At 43.2% G+C, this 13,861-nt stretch overlaps 1 protein-coding gene and 1 long non-coding RNA gene across 4 annotated transcripts in view; one reads left to right on the forward strand and one right to left on the reverse strand.

Moving 5' to 3' along the window:
• UBOX5-AS1 (UBOX5 antisense RNA 1) overlaps positions 1-13,861 on the forward strand; it is a 43,957-nt gene that overhangs the window by 18,737 nt on the left and 11,359 nt on the right. Inside the window, exon 6 of the long non-coding RNA NR_038395.1 lies at positions 10,356-10,511. This is a non-coding gene — a long non-coding RNA (UBOX5 antisense RNA 1). The remainder of the gene's footprint in view (positions 1-10,355; positions 10,512-13,861) is intronic.
• Positions 1-13,861, reverse strand: part of UBOX5 (U-box domain containing 5) — a 52,293-nt gene that overhangs the window by 18,075 nt on the left and 20,357 nt on the right. The window lies entirely within an intron of this gene.

Raw genomic sequence — 13,861 nt, forward strand, 5'->3', positions numbered from 1 at the left:
CCCGTCTGAGAAGTGAGGAGCGCCTCTGCCCGGCAGCCGCCCCGTCTGGGAAGTGAGGAGTGCCTCTGCCTGGCCGCCCATCATCTGGGAGGTGAGGAGCGCCTCTGCCCGGCCACCCCGTCTGGGAGGTGAGGAGCGCCTCTGCCCAGCCGCCACCCCGTCTGGGAAGTGAGGAGCGCCTCTGCCCGGCTGCCCCGTTTGGGATGTGAGGAGCGCCTCTGCCTGGCCGCCACCCCGTCTGGGAAGTGAGGAGCGCCTCTGCCCAGCCGCCCCGTCTGGGAAGTGAGGAGTGCCTCTGCCTGGCCGCTGTGCAATCTTCCAAGTGTGAAGTGACAGCCTTTCTGCAGGTGTACCCAATAGCTCCGAAGAGACAGCGAACATCAAGAACGGGCCATGATGACAATGGCGGTTTTGTCGAAAAGAAAAGGGAAATGTGGGGAAAAGAAAGAGAGATCAGATTGTTACTGTGTCTGTGTAGAAAGTAGACATAGGAGACTCCATTTTGTTCTGTACTAAGAAAAATTCTTCTGCCTTGGGATGCTGTTAATCTATAACCTTACCCCCAACCCCGTGCTCTCTGAATCATGTGCTGTGTCAACTCAGGGTTAAATGGATTAAGGGCGGTGCAAGATGTGCTTTGTCAAACAGATGCTTGAAGGCAGCATGCTCGTTAAGAGTCATCACCACTCCCTAATCTCAAGTACCCAGGGACACAAACACTGCGGAAGGCCGCAGGGACCTCTGCCTAGGAAAACCAAAGACCTTTGTTCACGTGTTTATCTGCTGACCTTCTCTCCACTATTATCCTATGACCCTGCCACATCCCCCTCTCCGAGAAACACCCAAGAATGATCAATAAATACTAAAAAAAAAAAAAGAAAAGAAAAAGAAAAAAAAAAGAAAGGAAGGACAGAAGGAAGTAAGTTGGGCAGGGACAGAAAGAAAGAAAAAGACAGAGAAAGAGAGGGAGGGAGGGAGTGAAGGAGGAAGGGAGGGAGGGAGAGAAGACAGAGAAGGAGGGAAGAGAGAGAGGGAGGGAGGGAAGAAAGGAAGGAAAAGAAAGAAAGAAAATATTAGGGTTGGAAAGCACCTTAAAATGACATCTAGGCCTGGCACGGTGGCTCATACCTGTAATCCCAGCACTTTGGGAGACAGAGGCAGGCAGATCACCTGAGGTCAGGAGTTCAAGAGCAGCCTGGCCAACATGGTGAAACTCCATCTCTACTAAAAATACAAAAAGCAGTTGGGCATGGTGGCAGGCACCTGTAATCCCAGCTACTCGGGAGGCCAAGGCAGGAGAATCACTTGAACCCGGGAGGTGGAGTTTGCAGTGAGCCGAGATTGCGCTACTGCACTCCAGCCTGGGCGACAAGAGCAAAACTCCGTCTCAAAAAAAAAAAAAAAAAAAAAAAAAAGGACATCTAATGCAAGTAGTCATTTTAATGGCCAATTCCAATGGCTTCTGGTAACTCTGTGGAGAAGGAGGGAAGCCACTGAAAACACCCCTCGCAGTGGCAGACCTCTCCAGTGGAACTCAACTCCTTGGTGAGGCCAGCCAGCCATTTATGCTTTTCTCCCTGACAGTCGTGGCCATGTAAAATTGTTAGCCCGACAGGGATAGGGTCACCCTCTGGGCCCCTTTTGCTGTCAAAATCAGTAGGAGCCACTTGCAGGAGCCAGGCATACTAAGCGTCCTGCAACATCTGAGTGGATAGTTGCTGCACAGTGAAGATCTGTCATGGGCCTTGTAAATGTCTATTATCTCAGCTTAGCCCCTAACTCAGTTTTACATATTAACACAAAGTATTTTTAAACATGGTTTTCATATATGCTAAATTTTCTAGGAGGGGAACTTCCATGTAAGCCAGAGGAAGGTCATATATTGTTTTGTTCAGACCTTTACCAAGAGATGCCCACCATTTCTGAAAATCACATCACCGAGAGCAAAGCTCTCCACCTCGGTCAGTCTGCATTTGTAGCAGTCTGCATTCCACATGCGCTCCTGCGTGATGGTAAAAGCTTCTGAATACTTCTTTATGCCTTCTAGTATGGTCACACCCAAACATTTATACACGAGAATAAATTTTATTATCATACCTAAAATTTTTTCCTTTAAAGTACTGTTAGGGCATTCTGTGTGTTGGTGGGGGGAGGGTGTGTATGTGTGTGTGGACCTACACACATTAGCGTGTGTACATAAGTAGGTTATACTATTTGGCTTTAAGTTCATCATGATAGAAGAAACATGAATCTCATGGGGTAGAAAGCCCCTGGCCTAAAGCCTCCTGTTCTTTGTGAGCCTGTGTTGAAACTCCTAGTGCTTCCCACTTTGAGGCACATACACCTTTGCTTTGCCAGAGAATTTTAGAATCTGGCCTGGCATCCACATGGACTAAAGTTTCTACAATTCCTTTTCTGAAAGATTATATTAACAATGTCTCCAGGCTTCTGATACCTTTCGTGTTCTCCACGATAAGTAAAAACAAATGAAGTATCTGATGCATTGTGTCTACAAATATCCTCAGAAGCCCTATAGTTACCTCTTTTTGGCCAGGACACCAGAACTCATTTAGAGCAGCATTTCCCCCAGCTTCCCTGCCCAACTAGCATAGTAGCTTCCTGTCGGTTTGTTTTAAATGTAAAATTAAGCCATTCACTTTAATTGAATATAGAACCATTAAAATAAATATATAGCCAAGCCAATGAAATAAAACATTCCTCCTTGGAAAAGCAAGCCTAGGATGCCAAAGGAAAGCAGACAATATGCTACTGACATAGATGATGACACTAGAGACAGACATATGCAGAACGGTGCTGGCCCCAGGCAGATGGCTGAGGTTGGGGCCCTGGGACTTGAGAGGGTTTTCTTTTCACTGCTCCAGGCAGTTCCCTCTTCCCCTCTTGGCCCTGACAGAAAGCCAAGAAAAAACAAAGCCGGGCGGAGTGGCTCACACCTATAATCCGAACACTTTAGGAGGTTAAGGTGAGAGGATCACTTGAGCCCAGGAGTTCGAGATCAGCCCGGGCAACACAGCAAGACCCCGTCTCTACAAAAAAATAAAAAGATTAGTTAGGTGTGGTAGCACACACCTCTAGTCCCAGCTACTTGGGAGGCGGAGGCAAGAGGATCACTTGAAGCCAGGAGTGCAAGGTTACAGTGAGCTATGACTGTGCTATTGTACTCCAGCCTGAGTGACAGTGAGACCCTGTCTCAAAAAATAAAGTAAAATAAAATAAGAGTTCTTCTAGACTTAAATGTGGTTATTATGCTCTATGATATAGAAATGTGGAAACCTTGACTGCCCTTTCCAATATGTGTTAGATCAGACCTGAAATTAAGGAAAATCTTGGTATACCCTTAGCTACTTCTTCCCACCTCTGTGTGGAAGCGAGTCAGCCTTCTGTTCAAGCATCTCAGCTCATGAGGCTTCTCCACCCGCGTCAGGGGCTGTCAACTACCCCAGTCAACTACAAAAGCATATGGACCTAACCCTGACCAGACACAGACTACCTGCTCTCCACAGCACTCATCAAAATATAAGTTGAGGGAACATTTACAGAAGAGTGTTCAGTCCAGCCCCGTTACATGCTCCTTGGTGCTGGTCCAAGTAGCTTCTCTTGCCTCTTGTCTGGCACTCCTCGTGGCTGCTGCAGATCTTATCCCACACCACTATCTGACAGATTTCTTAGCAGTTTTGATCCTCACCAGTTGCAAAAATAAATGTAACACATTGATAAAAATTCAGTGGCCGACTTGTGACGATTCATAGGACACCAGAGTAGCAGGACATATCAGGTGATAACCATAATTTTAATCTCTAAAATATACCACTCCATTGAGCTGACCCTCAGACCAGTGCACCGGCCTATCCTCATGTTCATCCCAGCCACAACCATCACCACCCTCACCACCCCCTGCAAATACTCTTCACCAAGCTACTCATTGGCACTGTGTGACAAGGAACTTCAATAAGAAACAGCTCTTTAAAGTCAGTTACTGTTTTGTTTAGTGGACAAAATGATCATTGTCTGTTCTATATGGTATCCTCTCTTGGAGACCCATAAGAAAATTTTCTCTTTGGTCTCAGTACTAGAAGAGTTGTTTATCGCAAGCAATTCAATATTTTATGGTATGAATATGGATCACATTCCTTCTTGACTCTGGCTGTTAGAAAGCTCCGAATAAAATCTGTGGCCCATCCCTCAAATTTCTCCCTACCTGAATTATTTATTTTTATATAATAGAGCATAATATGTAAGGTAGCTTAAAATAATTTTGGAACAAAGTGGGGTATAAATATGCTGGGCATAGGGGCTCACGCCTGTGATCCCAGTACTCTGGGAGACCAAGGCAGGAGGATTGCTTGAGGCCAGAAATTTGAGACCAGCCTGGGCAACAAAGTGAGATGCCATCTCTACAAAAAATTTTAAAAATATTAGCTGGGCATGGTGGCATGTGTCCGTAGTCCCAGCTACTCAGGAGTATGGCTTGACCCCAGGAGTTTGAGGCTACAGTGAGCTATGATCACACCACTGTACTCCATCCAGACTGGGTGACAGAGTGAGACCCTGTCTCCAAAAATAAATAAATAAATAAATAAATAAATAAATAAATAAATAAACAAACAAAGAGGGTGGGGGGCATAAATAATTCTCCTTTTGGGAGACATTTAGGTTGTTTATGCCTTTTTTTTTTTTTTTTTTAAAGACAGGGTCTCACTATGTTGCCCAGGCTGGAGTGTAGTGGCTATTCACAGGTGCCATTACAGTGCACCACAGCCTCAAATTCGTGAGCTCAAGCAATCCTCCTGCCTGAGTGCCCCAAGTCCTGGAACTACAGGTATGGGTCACCAAACCCAACTTGTTTGCAACTTTTTACTACTACCTTAAGATCAAAATCTTAAGTAGATTTTTGTCATTATTTTTTCCTTTAGTACAATTTTCACTTTTTTACTCAAGGGGTCCTACATGTTTCTAGTTAAGGTTGCTATTTATGAAAGGTTCTTCTTAACCCATTAATTTTTCTAACTGGTCATTCCTATATAGGAAAGCTTTTCACTTTGGTATCTTTACTATATGTTCAGCTGTCTTATTGAACTCTTATTGATTTTAACACATTTTCAGTTGTTTTTGCTTTTTTTTTTTTTACAATCCTATTATCTCAATAATGAGAATTCCTTTCTCAAAATGGTAACTCTTATTTCTGTCTCTCATTTACTGCATTAGCCAGAACTTCCGGAATTACACAAAACAGTAAGACAGTTGCCATCCTCGTTTGTGCCCATTAGAAAATGCCTCTTTGGGCCAGGCGCAGTGGCTCACACCTGTAATCCCAGCACTTTGGGAGGCCGAGGCGGGCAGATCATAAGGTCAGGAGTTCAAGACCAGCCTGGGCAATATGGTGAAACCCTATCTCTATGAAAATACAAAAATTATCCAGGCATGGTGGCGTGAGCCTGTAGCCCCAGTTACTCGGGAGGCTGAAGCAGAAGAATCGCTTGAACCTAGGAAGCAGAGGTTGCAGTGAGCCGAGATCATGCCACTGCATTCCAGCCTGGGCAACAGAGTGAGACTCCATCTCAAAAAAAAAAAAAGAAAATGCCTCTTTGAACATAATGTTGATTGTTAGATTGAAATATCATCTTTATGTTAATAAAGCATTCTAATTTTCATATTTTTTGAAGTCAGGAATATGCTCTGAATTCTGATTTTTCTCTATATATTGTCTTTTATTATTTATCTTATCTGACAGACTAATGGGATACATTAACACTTTTTTCTAATTTTAAACCATCCTTTTTATTCCCAGGAGAGATTCTATTTGGTTGTAGCATATTGTTCTTTAAATGTACTGTACTACTGAATTTATTTTGCTCATATTTAATTTTAGATGGGATATTATTGCACATTCATGGAACATTTGCAAGCCCTGTGCTAGGCACTGGAGTATAGAGATAAAAATGAAATGGCAGTGAAACTATTCTGTATTACACTGTAATGGTAGATACATGACATTATACATTTCAAAACCTATATATTCAAAACCTGTAATTCAAAACCTATAGAATTATACAACACAGGCTGGGCGTGGTGGCTCACGCCTATAATCCCAGCACTTTGGGAGGCAAAGGCGGGCAAAGCACTTGAGGTCAGGAGTTCGAGATCAGCCTGGTCAACATGATGAAACCCCATCTCTATTAAAGATAAAAAATTAGCCGGGCAAGGTGGCGGGCACCTGTAATCCCAGCTACTGGGGAGGCTGAGGCAGGAGAATCGCTTGAACCTGGGAAGCAGAGGTTGCACTGAGCCGAGATCGAGCCACTGCACTCCAGCCTGGGCAATAGAGTGAGACACTGTCTCAAAAAAAAAAAAAAAAAAAAAACTGGGCGTGGTGGTTCACATCTGTAATCCCAGCACTTTGGGAGGCCAAGGCGTGAGGATCAGTTGAGGCCAGGAGTTCGAGACCAGCCTTGCCAACATGGTGAAAACCCGATGCTACTAAAAATACAAAAATTAGCTGGGCATGGTTGCGCATGCCTGTAATCCCAGCTACTCTGAAGGCTGAGGCAGGAGAATCACTTGAGCCCAGGAGGCAGAGGCTGCAGTAAGCCGAGATCACGCCACTGCACTCCAGCCTGGACAACAGAGTGAGACCCTGTCTCAAAACAAAACAGAACAAAAACAAAACACAAAGAATTATACAGCACAAAGAATGAACCTTAAATTATAAACTTAATAATAATTAATCAATATTGGCTCATTAGTTATAAGAAATGTACCGCACTAAGATGTTAATAGCATTAATAATACTCAATTTTTAGGTAAATCTAAACTGCTCTAAATTATAAGGTGTATTAATAATAATAATAACAAAGAAATGGCTGGGTGAAACGAGGCGTGATTGGTCATGCCTGTAATCCCAGCACTTTGGGTGGCTGAGGCGGGCAGATCACTTGAGGTCAGGAGTTCGAGACCAGTCTGGCTAACATGGCGAAATCCCGTCTCTACTAAAAATACAAAAAATTACCCGGGTGTGGTGGCAGGTGCCTGTAATCCCAGCTACTTGGGAGAGTGAAGCAGGAGAACTGCTGGAACCCTGGAGACGGAGGTTGCAGTGAGCCAAGATAGCGCCACTGCACTCCAGTCTGGGTGACAGAGTGGGACTGTCTCAAAAAAAAAAAAAAAAGAAATGGCTGGGTGGGGTTGTGTACACCTATAAATTCCAGCACTTTGGGAGGCCAAGGCAGGGGGATTGCTTGAGGTCAGAAGTTCAAGGCTAGCCTGGGCAACATAGCGAGACCCAGTCTCTACAAAAAAAAAAATTAAATAATTAATAATAATAAAGAATGATTGGGGGAAAAAGTGATTGAAAACAACTCAGGACTGAAGATCAAATTGAAATATGCAAATTGAAACGAATGAGTGTGTTGTCACAGGAGAATGGCAGATCTTTTTTAAAAATATCTTACAAATGATATGTTTCTGTGGGAAACAGTGATGTCCAAACAGTAGGATTCCGTAAGAACCTGGTTGCTATCAAAGTCTTTAATAGGTATAATCTCATCATCTATCTTGTTCCAATACCCTGGACTTTTAAGGTCAGATGCCTTCTGCCTTAACAGAAAAAAAATAATGGCTCAACATATGAAAATGCAAACAGCCTAGCCCAGAAAGACGGCCTCCCTAGTCCTGCTGAGGAAATGGCCATGTAACTTGAACTCACTGCAAACACTGTCCAGTACTTACAAAGCATAGCCACTTTCTCCAGATGTGGCATCTAAGTACAAGAAAGACAAGGCTTGAGTATAACTTAATCTAAAACCTCAGATTGTGGCTAATGTGCCCTGCTTTCAGAGAAGTAGCTTGGAGACAGATAATAATGGCATTGTAAGATGGCAATACAGTTTATAAGAAAAAAAAAAGAATATAAAATAGTAGACACTCTTGTACCTACCACCTAGATTTAGCAAATGTTAACATTTTGCTATGTTTGCTTCTGATTTCAGTGTTAAAAGCAATATTTAAAAGATAAAAACAAAACCCAGCACCTATCCTATTTCCTCTCTCTTTTTGCCAAGGGGTAAGCTCTTTTTTTTTCTTATTTTTTTTGGGGGGGGGAAACAGGCTCTCACTCCCATGCCCAGGTTGGAAAGCAGTGGTGCAATCTCGGCTCACTGCAACCTCAACTTCCAGGGCTCTGGTGATGGGTATTCTCCTACCTCTGCCTCCCGAGTATCTGGGACTACAGGCGCGCACCACCACATCCGGCTAATTTTTGGGGGTTTTTTGGGTAGAGATGGGGTTTCACCATGTTGCCCAGGCTCTTCTCAAACTCCTGGGCTCAGGCAATCCACCCACCTTGGCCTCCCAAAGTGCTGAGATTACAGGTGTGAGCCACCTTGCCCGGCTAAGGTAAGCTTTATCTAATGTTGTCTGTCATTCAAATCAGTATAGGTATGCATATATATATATAAACTACATATAGTAGTCATGTATTTTAATATACCTTAATGATAATATATTATGTGTATCATCTTGCAACTTGCTTTTCCATTAAGCATTATATTAAGGTTTTCCATATTGAAATGTTTACATTTGGTGTATTCATTTTAACTTCCTCATATTTAATTGTATGACTAAAACAGTTTCTCCACTGCCCTATTACTTATGTTGTTTAAAATTTTTTACTATGAAAAAAATGCTGCAATAAACATTCTCTACAAATCTTCTTGTGGGAAAAATAAGAAATGAAATGAACGGCCTTCTCTGTGAGTCATGAGACAATAAAGACTTCTTTCTAACAGTGATTATATAATAGAATATATGCTTGAACCCGGGAGGTGGAGGTTGCAGTGAGCTAAGTTCGCACCATTGCACTCCAGCCTGGGTAACAGAGTGAGACCCCATCTGAAAAAAAAAAAAAAAAAAAAGGCCAGGCGTGGTGGCTCATGCCTGTAATTCCAGCACTCTGGGAGGCCAGACAGGCGGATCATCTGAGGTCAAGAGTTCAAGACCAGCCTGGCCAATATGGTGAAACCCCATCTCCACTAAAAATACAAAAATTAGCCAGGCATGGTGGCGGGCGCCTGTAATCCCAGCTACTCGGGAGGCTGAGGCAGGAGAATCACAATCACTTGAACCCGGGAGGTGGAGGTTGCACTTGGCCGACACCGTGCCACTGCACTCCAGCCTGGGCAACAAGAGCGAAACTCCGTCTCAAAAAAAAAAAAAATTTATATACATAATATAAAGGTAACAGAGCATTCTGCGGATGACACAGTAAGGAAAGATAACCTAGATCAATGTTTTTCAATTTGTGGTTTTTGGAATCAAGTAATGGGTTAAAGAAAAGAAATAATTAGAAGAGAATACAAAATATGAAGGTGCAAATAGTATGGATATGTCATGAAATTGTTTCAGTTTTGTACAAATATATTTAACAAATGCATGTATATCATCTAATATAAAATGCATTTCTTATTGTGACTTGATAAAAAAAATTTTTTTAAAAAAACGTTGGTCAAAAGTTTTGACCAAAACATTGGTCAACTCAGGGGAAAATTCACAGGAGTAAACATGTGAACTTAGGGTGACTAGGACACATGCCTGATCTCATGGACAACTCTGAAGAGGGACAGACACTCCATATTAATGCTACCACAGACTGTAGACTACAGGAGCCAAGAGGTGAGAACATGAACAAAAGAGAAGGAGCCCTGGGGAAAGGGATCAGGAAGTGTCAAGGCACAGAGGAGGGAAGTGTGAGGCTGGTTCAGGAGATGCTGAACATGCCACTTAGCTATGGAGGTGGAGTAGGAGCCACAGCTGGGAAGGCAAACGGAGCCGGATGAGGAAGGCCTTGAACGTCATGCCAAAAAGTTTAGACTACTTCACTTAGTAGGCTGAGGTAGTGTTTCCCAAACTGCAGGTTGAGAATTAAGAACTTAAATTACCGAGCCATAACTAGTATTTTTAAAAATTAAGTAGAATAGAAAATGTCAGCATGCACCACATACAAGGGTGAGCACTGTTTTGTGAAAGTTTTGTTTCAGTTACATATATATGTGAACACACAAACACACGCAATTATTCATTTGGGGTTTTGATGTAAAAGTTATTTCTTACTAAAGGTTGTAGTTAAAAAAAAAAAAGTTGAAAGCTACTGGTCAGAAGTAAGTCATCGGTGAATCATTATCAGTATCAGTAGGCTGGTTATGAAGTTCTAGTATAGCTATGCAAGATGTTACAGCCAGGCACGGTGGCTCACACCTTTAATCCCAACACTTTGGGAGGCTGAGGTGGGTGGATCAGAGAGAGAAATGACACTAATGAAAAGTCTGCTATTAACCTCCTAGATGACAACAGCAATTCTGAACCACTTAGAGGCAATTCACCCTTCAAGAGGTCAATTTCCCTTTTCTCTGGCTGATGTGTTCCCCACTATCTTTTCTGTACTACATGAGGGGCTCCTGGCAAATGGCTTCCTGAAGACATCAAAGATGAGTACCAAGGTACTAACTACTTAGGAATAAACTGGTAATCCCATTTTTCCTTCGGCATTTTCTTCCTTTAGTTTTTCTCTTTTTATTCTTTTTTTTTTTTTGAGGGAGGGGCATTCTTCAAAAGGAGGAAAATGAACTATGTATAATGTATTACTGAGCATCTCACAAGGATTTCAAAGCTACTTTCTAAGAGATTGTTTATTTTTATTTTTTATTTTTTTTGAGACAGAGTCTCTCTCTGTCACCTAGGCTGGAGTGCAGTGGCACAATCTCGGCTTAATGAAACCTCCACCTCCCAGGTTCAAGCAATTCTCCCACCTCAGCCTCCCGAGTAGCTGGGATTACAGGCATGCGCCATCACACTCGGCTAATTTTTTGCATTTTTAGTAGAAATGGGATTTCCCCACGTTGGCCAGAGTGGTCTCGAACTCCTGACCTCAAGCGATCCACCCACCTCAGCCTCCCAAAGTGCTGGGATTACAGGCGTGAGCCACTGTGCCCGGCCTTAATATTACTATTATTTTGAGATGGAGTCTTGTTCTGTTGCCCAGGCTGGAGTGCAGTGGCATGATCTCAGCTCACTGCAAGCTCCACCTCCCAGGTTCACGCCATTCTCCTGCCTCAGCCTCCCGAGTAGCTGGGACTATAGGCGCCTGGCACCATGCCCAGCTAATTTTTTGTATTTTTAGTAGAGACGGGGTTTCACTGTGTTAGCCAGGATTATCTCAATCTCCTTACCTCGTGATCCACTCACCTTGGCCTCCCAAAGTGCTGGGTTTACAGGCGTGAGCTACTGCACCCAGTCCCTGTTTTTCTGAGACAGTGTCTCACTCTGATGCCCGGGCTGGAGTGCAGTGGGGCAATCTCGACTCACTGCAGCCTTCACCTCCCGGGTTCAAGCAATTTTTGTGCCTCAGCCTCCCAAGTAGGTAGGACTACAGGCATGACCCATGCCTGGCTAATTTTCGCATTTTCAGTAGAGACAGGGTTTCACCATGGTAGCCAGGATGGTCTCGAACTTCTGACCTCAAGTGATCCACCTGCCTCGGCCTCCCAAAGTGCTGGGATTACAGGCGTGAGCCACCACACCCAACCAGAAATTGTTTCTTTTTAAAAGATCTAATTAAACTTTTAAAGATAATTGTAGACTCATGTGTAGTTGTTAAAAAACAATACAGAGAGATCCCACATACTCTTTCAGGCTCACTGCAACCTCCGCCTCCTGGGTTCAAGTGATTCTCCTTGAGTAGCTGAGATTACAGGTGCCCGCCACCATGCCTGGCTATTTTTTGTATTTTTAGTAGAGACGGGGTTTCAACATGTTGGCCAGGCTGGTCTTGAACTCCTGACCTCAGGTGATCCACCCACCTCAGCCTCCCAAAGTGTTGGGATTACAAGTGTGAGCCACCGTGCCTGGCTGTAACATCTTGCATAGCTATACTAGAACTTCATAACCAGCCTACTGATACTGGTAATGATTCACCGATTTTCAGATTTCACCAGGTCTGCATGCATTCATTTGTGTGTGCCTATCTAATTAGTTCAGTGCAATTTTACTCTATGTGCAAAGTTGGGTAATCACAACCACAGTTGATACAGAACACTTTTATCACAAGAATTTCATGTTATCCTTTAGAAAGTCTTTTATCTTATAAATCCAAATACTCTACTTCCACAGAAGTCTTGAAATTTTTCACCCAGATCTAAGCCTTGGCTGAAGACTCCAGTTAAGCTCACTGCCCACACTGTAAGAAACAAACTTGAGTGACACATTTAGTCTTGGCATTCATGTCACTTAAATGATAAATATAACTATGCAGGAAAATGCAAAAGTATATATAGGCTGGGCATGGTGGCTCACGCCTGTAATCCCGGCACTTTGGGAGGCCAAAGTGGGCAGATCACTTGAGGTCAAGAGTTTGAGATAAGCCTGGCCAACATGGTGAAATGCTGTTTCAACTAAAAACACAAAAATTAGCCAGCCATGGTGGCGCATGCCTGTAGTCCCAGCTACTCAGGAGGCTGAGGTGAGAGAATGGCTTGAACCTGGGAGGCGGAGGTTGCAGTGAGCTGGGATCACACCACTGCACTCCATCCAGCCTGGGCGACAGAGGGAGACTGTCTCAAAAAAAAAAAAAAAAGTATTATGAAAGTATTATGATCATACATTTGTTAAAAATCTATGTCTAGGAATATGTATACATAAATAGTTGGAGAGGTAATGGTGGGCATGCAGAAATGTAAACATCCGACATACTAGGCTGGTGGGATAAGTTGTTCTTCTTTTCCTTTTATGTATTGAAAGTTGATGTATGCCTGAGGTCTCAGGATAACAGCGGAGAAGACTGAGATTTATGTTCAGAGTACTTTTTGCAGCTGCCAGTACTAGGGCTCAGAAAGGGAAGTGCAAGGGAAGGGCCAAGAAGGGATCCAGGAGTTGAGTGGCCAACTGTCTTGGCATACCCACAGCTAAGGAGTTTTCCAGAACATAGTACTTTTGGTGCTAAAACCTGGGCAAACTTGGAAGAGTTGGTTGCCCTGTCTCGAAGGTTGTTGTCTGTGCTTCCTTGGAGCTTGAAGCAACCAACAAACCTTTTGTTTTTGGTGTTGAGGTTCAGCACCTGGGGGTAGGGAAGTGTGGAAGGATAATTTAGAAGAGAATAAGGTGACCATGACACTTTCTGAACACCTCAGCATCCAGCTTCCTTCAGCCTACAAAGTTACCATAGCTGCGTTATACAATCTGATTTTGAGTCTCATAGAGATGTAATGAAAAGTAATTCTGGCAGACACACATATTTTAAAGACTAGACTCAAACAGGTTACAGAAGGGAAAAAAAAGAAGAAGAAAAGATTACCTGTCAAGTAAGAGAAAAGCATTTCACCTCAAAGAGTGGGTGGAATATCAATGCACTGAGCAATTTCATAAATTGGGCACTTCAGCTTTTAAAGAAGTGCACTACTTCTTATAATTTCTAAATTGAGTTACCTGTCCATCCATGAAAAAAGTTTGACTCATGTGCCTTTTTCTTACAACTGGTTAAAATGAAAGACAGTTGTCCCAGCCCATCCCACACAGTTACCCACCAGTGAGAGGTATGCAAAAAAACCAGAACACAGGTTAGAGCCCCAAAGAAGCCTGCAGTTTTATACCACGTGGAGCCAAGTCACCCTCTAAGGGCTTAACATGTGCTAGGCACAAGTAGACTCAGTTTTTCCTCTTTATTTTTAATTTTTATTTATTTATTTATTTATTGAGACAAGAGTTTTGCTCTTGTTGCCCAGGCTGGAGTGCAATGGCGCGATCTCGGCTCACTGCAACCTCCCCGTCGTGGGTTCAAGCGATTCTCCTGCCTCAG

Source organism: Homo sapiens, chromosome 20, assembly GCF_000001405.40.
Source record: "Homo sapiens chromosome 20, GRCh38.p14 Primary Assembly".
NCBI classification, from domain to species: Eukaryota; Metazoa; Chordata; class Mammalia; order Primates; family Hominidae; genus Homo; species Homo sapiens.